This window comes from Homo sapiens, chromosome 7 (assembly GCF_000001405.40).
Source record: "Homo sapiens chromosome 7, GRCh38.p14 Primary Assembly".
Classification (NCBI taxonomy): domain Eukaryota; kingdom Metazoa; phylum Chordata; class Mammalia; order Primates; family Hominidae; genus Homo; species Homo sapiens.
In genome coordinates, this window is record NC_000007.14 from 137,186,773 (window position 1) to 137,206,303 (window position 19,531).

The following is a 19,531-nucleotide window of genomic DNA, read 5'->3' on the forward strand; positions in this document are numbered from 1 at the left end:
AACTTACAAGAAAAAAACAACCCCATCAAAAAGTGGGCAAAGGACATGAACAGACACTTCTCAAAAGAAGATATTTATGCAGCCAAAAAACACATGAAAAAATGCTCATCATCACTGGCCATCAGAGAAATGCAAATCAAAACCACAATGAGATACCATCTCACACCAGTTAGAATGGCAATCATTAAAAAGTCAGGAAACAACAGGTGCTGGAGAGGATGTGGAGAAATAGGAACACTTTTACACTTTGGTGGGACTGTAAACTAGTTCAACCATTGTGGAAGTCAGTGTGGCGATTCCTCAGGGATCTAGAACTGGAAAATACCATTTGACCCAGCCATCCCATTACTGGGTATATACCCAAAGGACTATAGATCATGCTGCTATAAAGACACATGCACACGTATGTTTATTGCGGCATTATTCACAGTAGCAAAGACTTGGATTAAGAAAATGTGGCACATATACGCCATGGAATACTATGCAGCCATAAAAAATGATGAGTTCATGTCCTTTGTAGGGACATGGATGAAATTGGAAAACATCATTCTCAGTAAACTATTGCAAGAACAAAAACCAAACACCGCATATTCTCACTCATAGGTGGGAATTGAACAATGAGATCACATAGACACAGGAAGGAGAACATCACACTCTGGGGACTGTTGTGGGGTGGGGGGAGGGGGGAGGGATAGCATTGGGAGATATACCTAATGCTAGATGACAAGTTAGTGGGTGCAGCGCACCAGCATGGCACATGCATACATATGTAACTAACCTGCACAATGTGCACATGTACCCTAAAACTTAAAGTATAATAAAAAAAAAATTACCACAACGGCCTATTCTATGCAAATATTTTGAATCTCAGATGAAACGGATAATTTCCTAAGTAAATATATGTTTACAAAATTGACTCCATTAGAGTACATGTGAACGAAGTGAGCACAAAAATTGACTCCATCAGATAGAGGAAGATTAAACAGACCAAAGTAGATAGAAGAAATCAATAAAATTCTTGGAAAACTACTCAACTTTGTAGGCATTTTAGCACCTTGTTCAGATGAATTCACATAGAAATTCTACTAAAGCTTTCAATACTCTATATAAATTTTTCCAGACTACTGAAAATGAAGATATTTTCTCAACTTTTTAATGAAGTTATGAAGTCAATCTAGTAAAGAGAATAAAAGTAAAGAAAATATAGATTAATTTATGAATTTCAATGCAAACATATAAAATAAAATATTTACAGATTCAGCACTACATTAAGAAAACCAAACCTGATTTGTTCCAGGAATGCAAGTTTGGCACAACATTAAGAAATCCATTAATATCATACAATGTAATACATAGTCCTTGACACTTTCTAGAATATATAGATGAAATTAGAACTAAAAGATGGAAATATGAGAGAAAAGTGAAAATATATGAACTATACCACTCAAAAGTTCCAAAATTTAACCATTGGGAATTCCCAGAGAAGAACGCTGAGACAATCTCAGGAGGAAAAGATTCAAAAATTGTTTTGTTTTGTTTTTAAAAATATCCCTGAGATGGAGAAAAAGACCTTAAGAACAGATATCAATAGATGAGAGATAGATAGATAATAGGTAGATAGATAGATAGATAGATAGATAGATAGATAGATAGATAGATAGACAGATAATGATGAAACAAACAAGACAGCATTTAAATCATGGGTGAATCTGTATAAAAGATATATGGGAGTTTCTCATATTGTTCTTATCAATTTCTATAAGCCAAAATAAAAAGAAACAAAAAAAAATCATAGGGAAACACTAATTCCCACAATATGTGTATTTCTTTTAGAGAATATGTAAACAAATGAATAGTTGTGAGATACGATGTTTATGTAATTAAATAACTTATATGAAATTGTTTTTGCTATCTATTTAGAAAAATTTTCTCTTTCAGTATTTTATTGACCCAAATTACAAAATATGTTACAAACACTTGAGTAATAAAAACATGCTCCACTTGAGATGCCTGAATTAGGAGAAAGATAAACACACGAACCAATATATGTGGGTTAATATATAAGTCCTATGATAGTGATGCTACAAAGTAACATGGGAAAATTTTACTAGAGGAGCAAATAGGAATTTTAAGAGAAGCATACTAATGCAATTTCATTAGAGTTAGAATGCCCAAATATTCTATGAGATCCCTATTCTTGAGTCAACCATGAACATTGAGGATAATGGAGGTTTGAGGTTGAAGTGAGAAGCTATTCTTTAATTATGTCTTGAAATGCTGACTCAAGTGACCTCACTAAGACATTTCATCATGGGTTTTCTTTTGTTTTGGTTTTTGTTTTTGTTTTTTGAAATAGAGTCTCACTCTGTTGCCCAGGCTGGAGTACAGTGGCACGATTTTGGCTCATTGCAACCTCCACCTCCAGGGTTCAAGTGATTCTCCTGCCTCAGCCTCCCGAGTAGCTGGGATTACAGGCACACACCACTACACCTGACTAATTTTTGTATTTTTGGTTAGAGACCATGTTTCGCCATGTTCGCCAGGCTGGTATCAAACTCCTGACCTCAGGTGATCCACCAGCCTTGGCCTCCCAAAGTGCTGGGATTACAGGTGTGAGCCACCACGTGAGGCCTTCATCACGGTTTTTGATAACCATCTGACTAGAATTGAAATTTTCCTATTCATCTTTGTTTCCAACTAATTTCTTTTGTTGACTTTTCCAGTCATGTCAACCATCCAACCACTGAAGAACCCAGACTCTATTGTTCATCACTTTTATGCCAGTTTTTTAAAGTTGTAAACCACAAATTTAAAAAATTTTACATTATTATAAGCAGGTAAGTTTACCTTAAGTAAGTAAGAAAGCTCCCCAAAATCACATTTTTGATTATGAGAGACATTGTATATTTTAAATCTTATAGAAATTACATTATTACCAAAAAGTTCATGAAAAACGGATAACAATGATGAGGGAAAAGGATGAATGATACCTGACACTGAAATTTAAGCCTGAATCCCTGGGGTATATTGGTACAATGATCACAGAAAGGTATGTTGTTTTGAGAAAAACCACCATTAATGGTTCTCTCCTTATAGGCGCTAAATTGTATAATGACACACTTTGGTTTATGATTTCTATGAAAACAGAGAATTTCATGTAAATATTGTAACTACAAATTAATCATACCATTCAGTATGTACATATTATACAGAACTTAAGATGGTAGCAGAGAAGACATTAACCAGGAATATTCTGAGGTTAAAATATCAGTGGCTGGCAAAGCTATTGCCAGAAGAAAGTTATATAAACTGATAAATAGGACTATTTGTCAAATCAGTTGAGGAAGACAGAAAACAAAAAAAGATGAGTAGGACAGCCCATCACGCGCACATGGGAGTTGTGTCTCCCAAAATAGATTGAGAAACAAAGAGCTGGGATGACTGTCTAAGCAAGTGGCTTCCCAAAGTAGATAAAATTTTTCAAGCAAAAAACTTCCCTGTGGAGGTACCTGCAGGAATAATTTCATCATGAAAATACATAAGACGTCTTCCTCATCTGTCAACATTATCTCAGAGCTTCCTTAACACATACTGCAATCCGAAGTAAATTCAGTCTCTTGTTAGTACCAATCAGTCTTCTCTTTCTGTCTCCCCACTCTTTGATCTCAGAATGTGAAAGTCTTGTTTACAATGCTTGTTAAAAGCCAGGTCATCATTTCCCAATACCCTATATTTCTTTTATAAACTCAAAACTACAGACAAAGTAAAAGCAACAAAATGCTTATTTAAAATGTGCTGCAAGAACTTTGCACTTTATTTAGGTTTTTGTCTGATAAAGGTAAAATGTGGTGGAATTTTATCATTCTTATACAGACAATGCATTTCTACTAGAATCAACGAAGACTCTAGTATTGGATTTTTTAGGAGTCTTTTGATATTCCTGGTTCATATTGAACTTATTTTAATTTAAAATCCCTAGGGTTTTAATTATTTATTTTTATATCAGTAGCTGTTCAAGCTAGTTTCTCTCCTATTTTGTACACATGAAATTGATTTTTACACACCATAAAAGCTTTTCTATTTGTTTAGTGTTCACTCACATAATTTCTTGCCTCTGACTACACTGCTAGGCAGTTTGCATTCCCGCCTGCATTATTCTCTGACCTGATATCTCTTCCTTTGCACACCACTGCTAGATCAATGTTTCTCAAAGTTCCACTTTGATCATGTCATTCACATGCTTAAAATTATTTACTAATATTCTACTGTTTAGTGCATGATATCCAAGCTCCTCAGTCTACAAGTCAAAACACTGCACAATCTATCAAAATACTTTCTAATGCTATTTTCCATCTCTTCTCTGCATGATTCTGTGTTCCTGACAATGAGCATGTATATGGAGCTAGTTTTTTTGCTTTATCAACACCTCTTTGCTCTTCTGTTTTGTTTTGGCTTTTTTTTTGGCTATTTTTAATTTTTATATTGAGAAATAATTGTAAAACCTTAGAAAAATTGCAAGAGTACTAAGAGCGCTGATATAACACTTAACCCAGATTTAGCTATTGTTAAATTTCTGTATTTACTTCTTCATTTTGCTCCATATAACTGGCCCACCTTCTATTTTTGAAAAAAAATAAAAAAGAAATGCTTTATATTAAATAGAACTTCCATTTTTATATAATTTTAGATTCACATGAAGTTTTACGAGATTATCCAAGGAAGTCCCATGCACCATTTACCTTGGTTTACCCAATGGTAACATGTTGCAAATCCATAGTAGAATAGAACAAACAACATATTGACATTAACAGTCAAAATGGAGAATATTTCTATCACAACAAAGATCCCTCATGTTGCCCTTCTATAATCTTGCCCAGTTCCCATATGCTGCTATCATTTCCATATCCATTCATGCTATAATCTGCTTTCTTTTTCTATAATTTTTGTCTTTTCTAGAATGATATATAAATACACTTATATAGTACGTAAACTTTCGCCACTGGACATTTTTCCCCAGCATAACTCTCTGGAGATTCATGCAGGTTGTTGCAGGTGAAAATAGTTCATTATTCCTTATTGCTGAACAGTATTTTGTGCTGTGGGTACAATGATTTGTTTAACCATTCACCTGTTGAAGGACATCTGAATTGTTTCCAGTTACAAATGAAGCACCTATGAGCATTTACATACAGGTTTTTGTGTGAACCTAAATCTTCATTTCTGTATAATAAATACCTAGAAATACAATTGCTGGATTGAATGGTAGCTGCATGTCTAGTTTTTTAACCAGCTGCCTAATTGTTTTCCAGAGTAGCTGTAATATTTTAAATTTTCATCAACAACATATGAGTGACCCCGTTTCTCTGCATTCTTACTAGCATTTAGGATTACAACTATTTTTATTTTATCCATTCTGATATGTGCAGAGTGATATATCATTGTGTTTTTAATTCAAATTTCTCTAACGGCTAGTGATGTTGAATATTTTTATGTGCTTATGTCCCATCCTTTTAAGTGAAATGTCCATTCATTCATTTCTTTTTTTGGGGTGGGGGGGCGTGGGAGGGGACGGAGTCTCGCTCTGTTGCCCAGGCTGGAGTGCAGTGGTGCGATCTCGGCTCACTGCAAGCTCCGCCTCCCGGGTTGACGCCATTCTCCTGCCTCAGCCCCCCTAGTAGCTGGGACTACAGACGCCCGCAACCACGCCTGGCTAATTTTTTTTTTATTTTTAGTAGAGACGGGGTTTCACCGTGTTAGTCAGGATGGTCTCGATCTCCTGACCTCATGATCCGCCCGCCTCGGCCTCCCAAAGTGCTGGGATTACAGGCGTGAGCCACCAAGCCCGGCCCATTCATTTCTTTTGCCCGTTGCTAATCAGATAGTTTGCTTTTTGAGTGTTTACTTTTGAAAGTTCTTTATATATTCTAGATATTAGAAATAGGATAAACACAAAGAAATTCAGACCCAGACATATTATAACAAAATTGTCGAAAGTCAAAGAAAAAATCTTGAAAGCAACAAAAGAAAAATGACTTATTACATACAAGGAACCCTAATAAAATTAACATCGGAAACAATGGAGAGCAAAAGGCAGTAGGAAAACAGATATAAAATATTAAAATAAAAAATCGTCAACCAACAGTCTTATAGCTAGCAAACTATCACAAATGAAAGCAAAATAAAGATAATCCTGGATAAACAACTGAGAGAATTGGTTTCTAGCAGACGTATCTTTTAATAAATATTAATGGAAATTCTTCAAGCTGAAAGCCCATGACACCAGACAGTAATTCAAATACACAGAAAAAAACAGCACTGGTAAAGATGATTATGTAACTTAAAAGGCAGCATAAATGCAGAGGTCTCTTTTTATTTCTCTTTACTGATTTAAAAAGCAATTGCATAGAAGTACATATGTATATTTATATTGTGGAGAATATTACAAATAGAAATGTAATGTATTTGACAATAGCACAGAATTAGTATGCAAGAACAAAGCTCTATGGAAGAAAGTAATAAAACCAAATGGTAATTTGAATCCACAAGACCAAATAAATAAAACAACAAATAGTAAATAAGCAGGCTGGTAGTAAAAAGTTTATACATATATACTTGCTCTTCTTCCTTCTTTTACCTTTCTTAAATGATATAAAATCGTACAAAGTAATAGTTAAAGCAATATACTTTGGGGTTTGTAAACTATAAAGGTATGCTATACACAACAATAATATCACAAAAATTGTGAAAAGGGAATAGAGCTATATAGGAGTAATGTTTATATATCTAATTGGAATTAAGATACTATAAATCTGAGAGTAAATTCTGAGAAGCTAAGATGTATGTGATAAGTCCTAAAGTAACAATAAAGAAAATAACTTTTAAAATATAGCTTAAAGATCATTAAATAAATTTTAAAATTATGCAATAAATATTCCCTTAGTGCGAAAGAAAGCAGGGAAGGAGGGATAGAGGAACAAAAAGTAAGACACATAGAAAACAAAAAGTAAAATGAGAGCCATAAATACAACTTTATCAATAACATTAAATGTGAATAGATTAAACAATCCAATGATAATGCATATGTCTGATTAAAAACACAAAACCCGGCCAGGCGCGGTGGCTCACGCCTGTAATCCCAGCACTTTAGGAGGCCGAGGCGGGCGGAACACGAGGTCAGGAGATCGAGACCATCCTGGCTAACACAGTGAAACCCCATCTCTACTAAAATTACAAAAAAAAAAAAAAAAAAAAAAATTAGCCAGGCGTGGTTGCTGGTGCCTGTAGTCCCAGCTACTCGGAAGGCTGAGGCAGGAGAATGGCGTGAACCCGGGAGGCGGAGCTTGAAGTGAGCGGAGATCACGCCACTGCACTGCAGCCCGGGCGACAGAGCGAGACTCCGTCTCAGAAACAACAACAACAAACAAAACCCAACTATACATTGCCTACAGGAAACACACTTTCTATCCAAAAATACAAAGATTTGAAAGCAAAAGGATGAAAATGCATATAGTATAACCATACAAAGACCAATCATAGCAACCCTGAAGAGACTATACCAATATCAGAAAAAAATAGATTTTCAAAAAGCAAAATGTTATTAGAGAAAAGAGATACTGTGTATAGCAATAAAAGGATCATCCTTCAGGAAGATAAAACAATTATGAACACATACATGCTGCCCAACAGGGCTTCCAAATATATGAAGCAAAACTGACAGGACTGGAGGGAAAAATAAACAATTCAACAGTAATAATCAGAAACTTCAGTACCCTACTTTCAATAATAGATAGAAAAACTAGACAGAAAATGAATAAGGAAATAGAAGACTGAATAACACTATGTACCAACTAACCCTAAACAAGATCTATAGAAGATTTCATTCGACAACAGTAGAACATCAACTTATGTGCACATAAGATAGACCTTCTCCAAGATAGACCTTCTACTAGGCCATAAAGCAAGCCTCAGTAAATTTAACAGCACTGAAATCATACAAAATATGTTCTCTTCACTCAATGGAATTAAATAAGAAATCAATATCAAAAAGAAATTCAGGGAATTTACAAATATGTGAAACTTAAATAACACTCCTGAATAACCAATGAGTCAAATAAATCACAAGGAAAATTAGAAAATACTCTTGAAAGAATGAAAATGAAAACATGTCATATCAAAACTTATGGGATAGAGCAAAAGCAGGGCTTGGAGGGAAATTTAAAATATCCACACCTATATCTTTTAAAAATCACATTTTCTATATGTTAATTTCTACATTATAGGATTCCATTTATATAAAATATCTTGACTAGGCAAATCTACAGATAACAAATTAGATTAGTGATTATTCGTGGTGGGGAGGGGAGGGATATTTGGGGTAATTGAGGAATGACTGCTAATAGGTATGTGGTTTCATTATTTTGGGGTGATGAAAATGGGGTTTCTTTTTGTTATTTGTTTGTTGGTTTTTTTGAGACAGAGTCTCACTCTGTCACCTAGGCTGGAGTGAAGTGGCATGATCTTGTCTCACTGCAACCTCTGCCCCCGGGTTCAAGCGATTCTCCTGCCTAAACCTCCTGAGTAGCTGGGATTATAAGCGCCCACCACCAGGCCTGGCTAATATTTGTATTTTTAGTAGAAACGTGCTTTCGCTATGTTGGCCAGGCTGCTCTCGAACTCCTGACCTCAGGTGATCTACCTGCCTTGGCCTCCCAAAGTGCTAGGATTACAAGCATCAGCCACCGCTCCTGGCAGGTGAAAATGTTCTAAAATGTGTTGTATTAGCAATTTCACAACCTTCTGAATATTTTTTTTAAAGAAACCCACGATATTGAATTATACACTTCAAATGAGTAAACTGTACAATTTTACTTATATTTTAATGAAGGTCTTATATATATAAAACAAATTGGGCATGTATTTGTGAGTTTATTTCTGAGTTTTCTGTTCCATTGATCTATATGTCTATCTACCAATACTGTACAGTTCTGATTATTGTAGATAAATAATACATCTTGAAATTGGGCAGAGTGATTCTTCTCATTTTATTATCTTTTCCAGGAAAAAAAAAATAGCTATTCTAGTTTATTTGCCTTTCCATATAAGTATGAAGATAATCTTGCATATATCTACAAAAACTCTTGCAGGGAGTTTGATAGAAATTTCATTAAACCTGTATATCAATTCAAAAAGAATTAATATTTTTACTTTATTCAGTTCTCTATTCCATGAACACCGTATGTTTTTCTATTTATTTAGATCTTTTATTTTTTCATTAGTATTTTATAGTTTGCAGCATATGTCTTGTATATTCTTTATTAGATTTACACCTAAGAATGAAATGAATCTAATAAAGATTTGCTGAATCAATCTAATAAAGATTTGCTTTATTATTTGCATAATAAAGACATCAATCAAATAAAGATTTGCTGAGTCATTGCAAACTATCATATTTTTAATTTGTGTACGTATGTATGGTGTATGTGTGTATATACATTATATATGTTTGCTGCTACTATATAGATATAACAAATTTGTGTATATTTATCTTATATCCTGGGACATTCCTGGACCCACTTATTGGTTCTAGAACACTTATGGGACAGGTTGGGATGCTTTGTTACAGCCTTGCAAGCACACAAGTCTGGGCTTCTCAGTCCACATTTGCTGGTGTGGATCAGGGGTGGGATCAGAGTGTTTTCAGTGGTGTTTGGCTGGAGTAAACCAGCTATTGTCTAAATGTTTTCTGTTTCATTAGGCCGTCCTGCTCCTGGTCCTTCGGCTATATAAAGCATGCTTTTGCTCTCTTCCTTTCCTGTCCTGTCCAGTCCTGTCCTGTCCTGTCCTTTCCTTTCCTTTCCTTTCCTTTTTTCCGTTTTTTGTCTGTACCCATCCTGGTTGTTGGCTTCTTCAGCTTCAAGTCTGGGATATATGAAAAAAAGAAAAATAGAAAACCCACAGAACTCACCACTGTGTTGTTCTTCAAGTCCTGAAATTTGGCTTCTCTCCACTTTTCAGGGTATTTTTACATTTGTTCTGTGTATCATGTTCAGATTTGTTCAGTTTACTTAGCAGGAGGATTAGGGAAAAGTATACCTAATCCGTATTCCCTGAATTGGCTGTAACATATAAGGCTTTGTTAGAACACTGCTCATTCATTTATGTATCTCCTATGACTTTTCATGGTACAATGGCAGAGTTCACCAAGAGTGACAGAGACCATATGCTCTGAAATGCCAAAATGTTTACCATTTTTTCCTTTATAGAAAGCAAGTATCAATCCTACTTCATGCTGTAGTTTTCATATGCATTACATATACATATATTACAGACTAAATAGACAATATTTTTGTTGTTTTAAAAGAACATGCTTTTAAAATATGAAGAATAGTAGTCTTTTATATTCCCTCCAATATTTATCATTTCCAGTGCTTTTCATTTCTTCCTGAAGGTCCAGATTTTGATCTGATATCATTCTACTTCATCCCAAAGTCTTTTCTTTAGCATATCTTATGATGAAATTCTGTGGGAGACAAATTCATTCTGTGTTTCTATGTCTGTGTGTGTGTGTGTGCGTGTGTGTGTGTGCACGCGTATGTGTATGTCTTTCTCTGTTTCTTTCTCTCTACCCACCACTTGGAAATGTTTAATTTTAATTCTTGAAGAATGTTTTTACTCATAATAATATTCTGGGTCTTTTTTTCTCTCAGCATATTGAAAATGTTTTCCACTATCTTTTGGCCTCCATAAAGTCAGACGAGAAGCCAGTGGCTATTTGAATAGTTATTCCCGGGATGTAACATGTTATTTTCCTTTGGCTGGTATCAAGGTATTCTTTTTTTATTGGGTTTCACTAGTTTTACTGTCATGTACTTAGTGATTTCATTCATCTGTATCTTGTTTGGGTTTACTAACCTTCTAAAATTAGAGCAATAAATCACACAAAAAATATATTTTACACTAAACAGCAAAATTTTACAGCAATTGAAATATTTTCCCTTCAGTCTTTTCTCTCTCTTCTCTTTCTAGAACTTCAATTACATATATGTTAGACTTTTGTTGTTATCCTACAGGTTTTGAGGTTGTTTTCAACCACTTTTTTCTTAACATTTTCAGCTTAGTTAATTGCTATTGATCTCATATACTCTTTGCTCTATCTTCATTTTTTTGTTAATCCCATAGAGTAAAATTTTTATTTTAATAATAGCATTTTAAAATTACATTTTCTAAAGTCTATTTCATTGTTAACCATGTTTTCCTTTATAATCATGAGTTTAGTTATAATTGCTTTCAAATCTGTGTAGTGATAATTCCAATATTTGAATATTCTTGTCTGTTGATGATCTTTTGCAAATGAGTAATTTTTTCCCTTCTTTGAATATTAAATAATTTAAACAATCTTTTTCTGGGCACTATAAGGGTTATGACTATATTCTGTAATATTCTCCCAAAGATTAGCTTTTTGTTCATAAACTTTAGAAGCCAATTATCTTGATCAGACCCAAACTGCCAAGTCTTGCATGCCATTTGACATCTTAGTAGTTATTTGATATTTTTGATGGGCTGTTTTGAGTCTACCAATACATGTGAGAGGCAAGTGTCCGTCAGACATCTGGGGAGAGGTTTGTATAAATCTTGGGAATCACTCTCTTTGGTTCTCTCCTTTCTAGCATTCTACCATTATTGTCCATTGGCTGTGGTTTCCCTGAATTTCCTACTTTTAAACAACTGCAGCTTTTCCAACAGAGATTATGTCCTTCTGCATGGTGAAGACTGATATACCCAAAAGCTGAAAAGTATAAGAAATGAAGAACTAACCTGTGCCTTGTTTTTCTTTCAAATATTGAAGCGTTGACTTTCCTCCCAAACCTCTGTGTTGACTCTCAAATGCCTTCAAATAATTGTGTTTTGTCATCTGTTCATGGCTTGTAGTTGTTATCTTATGTAGGGTTAGTCCTGTATAGGCTTGTTCAGCCATGACAGAAGTGGATTTCCTCCCCCATGCCATTTCTTATTTTGCAAATTTGTTTTCTCCTTTTTTTAAAGTTAGGTTGTTAGCTAGTGATTTGTCTATTTTGATTATTTTTAATAGAATATTAATTTGATTTAAAGTTTTTCTGTTCTCTACTCTTTTATTCTTTCATTTTTCTTCCTTGTGCTTTCCTTTGATTTCCTTTTCTTTATTAAATATTGATGCTTCATTTATTTTTACTTTTATTGCTATAATTCTACAATGTTACACATTTTCTTTTGGTTACTGCTTTACAAGTTTCCCATAGCTTCTGATATGTAGGATTCTCATCATCATTATTTTTGTAAATAAACTAAATTTATGACATCTGTATTCTTTCACTCAAGAGTTATTTAATAAAAAGTTGAATTTCTTACCTAGTGGGTACAACATACATTATTTGAGTGATGTTTACACTAAAAGCCCAGAGTTCACCATTATGCAAATTATCCATGTAATAAAACTGCACTTCTATCCCCTAAGTCCATTAAAATAAAATTTTAAAAGAATCCTATAGCTACTTCTCACGTTTGTTATAAGTGTGAGTGTTACAACAATATAAATGTTATCGTTGTAACATAAGTAAGTTATAAGTGTTAGTGTTATAACAATTATTCAGTTCCTAGTATTAAACATTTCTATTATGAAAAACAGTTGAATTTCCAAGTAGACAGATTTTTTTGATTATTGATTTTATATTTGACTTCTATTTGTGTTGCATTGCAATCACACAAAATATTTCCACTTTGTGAAAACTAATGATGATTCTTGATACACGGTCAATTTTTAGAAATGTTTCAGGTGTGTTCGAGAAGATATATTCTCTATCGTCAGAATATTATGTTTGTTAAATGTCTGAAAAATTCTACTTTACTGACTGTGTTATTTAGATCATTTTTATATCCACATTAATTTTTGTCTACTTGGCTTCTTTTATATTGACAATGGTGTATTAAATCCCATATTATTAATGGGTTTTTAGAAATCCTTTTTATCTCATGTTGTTTCAGTTTGATATTGCAGTTGTTCTATTATTTGGCATGTAAGTATTCATAACCGTTATGTCTGTGGTGTTTTGAAAAGTGACTTTTAGCATTAAATATATATTGTGGAGTGCGCTTTTTAGCATTTAAAATGTGTCAGACTTTGCCTTTTTAATACTTTTTAATGTAAATTCTACTTTGTTATCAAGATTGAAAACACTTCTTATTATTTCCCTGTTTCTATCAATTCTTTGTTCACTCCTTTAGTACTAACATTTTGGAAATACTGTAATTTAAGTGTATCTCTTATATAGAACAGAGTTGAGTTTTGATTTGCATGCCAATTCTAGGGTTGGGTTATAAAAAACATTTATTTTTATTGAAATTTCTGGTAAATTTGATCTAAATTTTGTCATATTACCTTACGTTATGATCGATGGGTGCATTGTGTTATATTTACTATGTTTCTTTCTGTATTTAATTTGTGCCTTTGGCAAAATAATTGCCTCCTCAGAGAGGTTTGCATCCTAATCCTCAGAACCTGTATACATGCTCCCTTACATGGCAAAAGGAACTTTGCAAACTTGATTAAGTCAAGGATCTTGAGACTGTGAGGTTATTCTAGATTAACTGGGTGGACTCAGGTTAATGACAAAGGTTCTTATAAGTGAAAGAGGGAGGCAGCAGCATCAGAGTCAGGAGAGGAGATGTGACAATGAAAGCAGAAGCTGGTGAAACAATTGCAGGAAAGAAGCCATAAGACAAGGGCTGCAGGCATCACCTCGAAGCCAGAAAAGGCAAGGAACAGATAGTCCTACAGAGCCTCCACTGTATGGTTGAATGCATGTGTCCCCTCAAAATTCGTATGTTGGAACCTAAGACCCAATGTCATAGTTTTAAGAGTTAGGTCCCTTAGGAGGTGATTAACTCATGAGGGCTCCATGACTAGCTAGTTCCCTTGAGTCCTTTTTGTCCTTCTCCCTTTCACCGCGTGAGAACACAGCAAGAGGCATCATCATGGAAGCAGAGACCAGCCCTCGCCAGACACTGAATCTGCCGGTGCCTTGTTTTTGGATGTCTCAGCCTCCAGAATTGTGAGAAAATAGATTTCTATTTGTTCTTTTTTTTTTTTTTTGGTTTGTTTGTTTGTTTTGAGACAAGGTCTCACTCTGTCACCCAGGCTGGAGTGCAGTGGCATGATCTTGGCTCACTGCAACCTCTGTCTCCTGGGTTCAAGCAATTCTCCTGACTCAGCCTCCCAAGTAGCTGGGATTACAGGCACCTGCCACCATGCCCGGCTAATTTTTGTATTTTTAGTAGAGATGGGGTTTCACCATGTGGGCCAGGCTGGTCTCAAACTCCTGACCTCAGGTGATCCCCCTGCCTTGGCCTCCCAAAGTGCTGGGATTACAGGTATGAGCCACCGCACCCGGCCCAAATTTCTATTCTTTACAAGCCAACTAATATACTCCAGAAAGGACACAGCACTGGTGACACTGTGATTTAAAATCAGTAAGACTGATTTGGGACCTCCGGAACTCCAAGTGAATAAATATGTTGTTTTAAGCCACCAGTTTTGTGGGAATTTGCTGCAGCCATTATGGGAATCTAATACAAACGAGAAAACCTTTATCAAGAATTATTTCTGAAGCACATAGTTGTGCGGTTCCTTCTGTCTCCAGCTCCTGCCTCTGTATATACTTTGCTGTTCCATACTGTTAGAATTTAGAATGTAAACTCAGCCACATTTTGTCATCTATATTCATAGTACATACCTATACCCCTACAAATCTATGCATATATGTATCTACCCAGTCAAAGCATTCATAATGGCAGTATAATTTGCTGAATACTGGGCTTATAAAGTGGAAGCAGGAGAGATTTACACTAGCAGAATAAGCAATAGTGAGGAAATCTTCAGATATCACCTTTCTAGTAAATGCACTTTTATTTATCCCCATCCCCTCTACATCATTCTGGTTTAAGATTTTAATTAATCTAATATTTATTATAATTTAAGATATGAGATGGGGATATAATTTTAACAGTCCCTTTTTTTTCAGAATAGTAAATTGAGTTTCCCAGGACCACTTAATAATTACTCTTTTCCCCTAGCTATTCTGTTCTATACTTCATGGAACTAAATTATTTGTTTAGTTATTTGGGGCTGAAGCACATCAAAAGATGGAAAAGTAGAAAAGTATTTTTAACACTCTAGTTTCCCCAATTTCATGTTTTGGCAATGATGCAATGAGAGGAGAATAAGAGAAATTAATATTAGGACAAATGGATTGGGGAAAAAAGTGAATTTTTAGTAGGAGCTGAAAAGACACAAATATAAACACTCTTAACTCTGGAGAAAAAAAATATTGTGACTAAGACTGATTATAAATGGGATTTCTATATGCCAAGATCAGCAGGGAGAAGAGAACATGAATACATTTTGTTGTGTGAAGTACCTTCTGTCTTGTAACAAAAATCATGTTATGCATTATTTTTTTTCTTTTAAATAGCCTAAAAAAGAAAATGAAGAGAAAGTTCTAAATTTCAATTAAGCATGATTCTGATTTTGAGGTGTGAAGATTTCTGTTGGGAAAATGCAGATTTTATCATTCTAGACTCTGCAAGTATCTTCTATATAAATGATTGGTCTTCTGAATGAATTACTGGGATCTAGATTTCTACTTCAATAACTTAACACTAATTATGACCATTTAAAAGAATCCTGGTGTTACCTGACTGCCACAGTCTCTTCTTTCTACCCCAGAAACCACATTACACCCTAAGATCCACTATGTATTAGAATCCCCTAGAATAAATTTTACCTGGGCATTTTATCTGTTTTGTTCAGTGCTTTATCCTCAGGACCTAGAAAAGTGCCTAGTATGTGGTAGGTGTAAACATACGAAAATAACAAATGGGCAAATTAATTAATCAAATTGATCCTTGAAAACTTGATTCTTTTTAGAATTGGACCTCACAATTAATACATGTTTGGATTTGGTCAAATCATAAGCCACCTTAGGGGTGTATAAAATACATTAGTGAGAGGAGTCTTGGCATATTGTTGTGACTATTCTCTATAGGCCAAGTTTGGTGGTAAGACATGTTGCTATCAGACTGGGTAGTCTGATTTCAATGAGGACAATGTGGTTCCTGGGTGTCACGAGCCATATGGAGGCACTAATTTACCCAAAACAAGAAATATATGGATCCTAGGATGAGAAGCAGAGGCAGCATCAGTAATAGGAAGAGTTTTCTTGGCAGAAAATTTTGGTACTGGCTAGTTGATCCTGATATCCCTAGAACTGATATACATGGACATCCTACTAAAGTTTTACTTAATTTGTATAAATAGAAACCAGGTTTGGTGAAAAGACACTGACTACAATCACTACAATTACCAAATGAAGCTGAGAGTTTAACTGAACCACGGTTGCACAGACACCATTCTCAACTACTTCAGGTAAGGGGGTACCTCTTGCAGTAATGATATTATGGGGTTCAAAACAACCTGCAATTAACATTAAAAAGCAGTTGCAGAAGAGAGATATTAGTGATATAGCAAAACCCCACCAGAATCTTTATCTTGCACTTTCCTGCCTCCAGAACAATCAGAAATAAATATTTGTTGTTTAAGCCATTCAGTCTATGGTAATTTGTTATAATAGCCTGAGCTGACTAAGACAGCAATATAGGTCATGCTTTGTTCTTTGAGGCAGCCAAATGTGTCTGTGTGTGTGTGTGTGTGTATGTGTGTCTGTATAGACACTCATTTGGCAATATGTTGAAATATTATTTAAATAAATAAATAATTTACATAAATAAAATGGGACAGTTTGATTTGTGTTCTTGGATAAGAAAAATATGTGAGAGATTTTTCTGGAAAGCCCAGAGGGCTAATACACATTGCTGTGGATTTTATCCAACTAGTCAAGATGTTGATAGAAATAACATGTGTCATATTTTTCCACGTTACCCAGATATTTTATTCCTTAATAATACTTACTGTGCTTAGTCTGTATTGGGGATCACTAAAAATGAACCCATTATGCAACAGGATGGCAGAAGGAAAATAAGTCTTCCTTTGCTACACGTTCTCTATCTCTCCCGTTGAATTTGCTTTCTCAAACTGACCTCTTAAGTAGCTGGAACATAGCCTAATACTGTGATGATAATGACACAATCCATTCACACGTTTTCTACGAACCTTTATGCAGTTCATATGAATGCTGTGAGAAGTGCCATTTCAGTCTTGAAGATTTTTCTTGATATGTAAGAACTCTTCTCTCCCTCATTATCTTGAAGTCTCTCTTTTCTCTCTATTCCCATAAAATATGAGAAGAGGCTTCTTTCAGCAGATTATTGAAGTTTGTTTCATAGGCCACTTACTGGGAATGAGATTTCCTTGTGATTTAGATTTGGTGTGTTTCCTCACTTGCGTGTAATTCTATTCATCTCAACAGATATCAGAAAAAAGATGGAAATATTTCTATGAATATGTACTGTATTACCATAAAGTTGATGATATCTTAAATGATTTAATATAAAGCACTTTCTAGTCTGATAATTTTAATGACCTATATCAACTGTAGAAATTTCAAAAACAGTTACATGACATATCATTATTACTTGGAAAAAGCAGTCTGCACGTGAGAAATCAACCTCTGGGGTAGCATTACATTGGCTCGTATTCCTTGGCTCAAGAACTGACCCCGGCTAGCTCAAAGATTGAATTATCAGCATATTCCTATTGACCACATATGGCAGTGTGAGCTCACATTAACCATGTTGTAGAGCTGACTTAAGAAAATAATGATCTCTATGTATTAATTATGAAAATAACTGCGTCTTGGGCTGTAATACTAACTTTGACATGGTGTTGATTTTCTTCCTGTATGCGGTATGGATATATTCTCCTTGAAATCAGTGCTGGCGTGTCAGTAGATATGAATGTGGTAGGTGTTTGACTTAAGTGTCTCCCTCTCCTGCGCCTCCTCGTGCTTGCACTGGAATGTGGAATACTGCAACCTCCCTTTCTCTGTCCTAGACATCTTTCTCACCTCCCTCTCACACCCTCCTTGCTCCTAGTTCTAATTGGAACATCCCTGTTGGACAACATTGTGACATCAATCTTATGCCACTCAATTCCTTGATCTAACAGCCATTCTTCCTTGTCAGTTGCATTTGCATGTGACTTACTGAGCACTGACTTTGTAGATTAACTTTCAGAAAGTAATCTATTTCTTTTTAAAATATACTTTCCAATTCTTGGAAACTGTCTCTTCAGAATCCAACTACTGACAATAGGTAATAAACAAATGTACCTAACTGAACAGATATTGAAATAGAAATTGAAATGTGGTAACTTAAAATAAGCCCAAAAAGAGAAACAATTATGAATTATAAAGCAGAGTTCATGACAGCCAATAAAGGAGCTGAGTTTAAGGTGGATTTCAAAGAAAACATTTTTATGACTCTTGTGAATGACATGATTTCCTTTTGAGAACCATAGACATATTACCAACACTAAACAGTAGACAGTAGAGTACAAAAAGTGATAAATACATGTTACAAACAATTTTCCCAAACTAGTGTTATTTTGTAATGAAAAAATAATGATATTGCAAGCAAGAATACTCACTTTGATGTGAAATTAATTTTCTGTCTTATGTAAAGATTAATATCTACTTCCTCAGACTAAACTAACCTTATCCCACACATAGACAGAATCTGTGTGCTCCTTAATTAAAGTGTCATTGGTAACATGGTCCATGAGAGCCTGGGGGAATGTCTATGATTGTAGGGAGACCCCCTAAAACTATTGCTATGGTATAAAAGATGAAATGCTCCTGATTATTGTAAATACAAAATTGCATGCAGGATTGTGTAAAGACAATGCCAGGTTGGACTGCCAGAATGAGCCAACAGCGCGTGATGTGCTTCCCCCTGCAGAGAGCCTATGAATGGACGTGCAGTCAGGGAGGTTTCACATCACCAAGATTCCTATCCCAGAAAAGCAGATGTTCATGGCTCTGGGAATGGAATGCTACCCTTGTGGAGAGCCTATAAACGGATGCATGGGGGGGTGCCTGTCCATATGGATAAGAGCGCTATGAATGCCCTCATCTTGCCGTGGCTCTTCTAGGCCTCTTTAGGGTTAAGGCATACTCCCTTCTGAGAATTTCTGGTCTAACCGGTTGTCTAGCTTCATGTCCTGTTTCCATGGATTGTTTGTAACCAGCTTTTGTTGAAATTGTTACTGCTGATTAATATCTTGCTAATCATAGGTTATGGAAAGATTGTGTTTCTGTTTTAAGGCTCTGTTAGAAATTACTGATGCACACACTATATTGTAAATTCTTATCTCTGTGTACTGTACTTCTACATACAAATGTACTGTACTTCTGCATACAAATGTTATGTTAAAGAATTACTTCATCCCCATGTGACCATCTCACCTCATAATCAAATGACACTAAATCCCTCACTAACCTACCCCTGCCCTCACTAAACTTAATAATAAATGCTGGTATATCCA

At 35.0% G+C, this 19,531-nt stretch overlaps 1 long non-coding RNA gene across 1 annotated transcript, besides 2 other annotated features; it reads right to left on the reverse strand.

The window, feature by feature from the left end:
• Positions 3,507–3,707: a silencer, noted in NCBI's record as "peak6775 fragment used in MPRA reporter construct". NCBI's record gives its function as "represses an SCP1 promoter by STARR-seq MPRAs in K562 erythroleukemia cells {active_cell/tissue: K562}" and the evidence as "EXISTENCE:reporter gene assay evidence [ECO:0000049][PMID:32103011]".
• Positions 7,617–7,817: a silencer, noted in NCBI's record as "peak6776 fragment used in MPRA reporter construct". NCBI's record gives its function as "represses an SCP1 promoter by STARR-seq MPRAs in K562 erythroleukemia cells {active_cell/tissue: K562}" and the evidence as "EXISTENCE:reporter gene assay evidence [ECO:0000049][PMID:32103011]".
• LOC105375525 (uncharacterized) lies at positions 9,902–18,627 on the reverse strand. The gene is made up of 3 exons (XR_928034.2): positions 17,861–18,627; positions 17,201–17,440; positions 9,902–10,115 (listed from the first exon to the last, which is right to left on the reverse strand). It is a non-coding gene; the product is annotated as an uncharacterized LOC105375525 (long non-coding RNA).
• Positions 18,628–19,531: the final 904 nt, after the last annotated feature.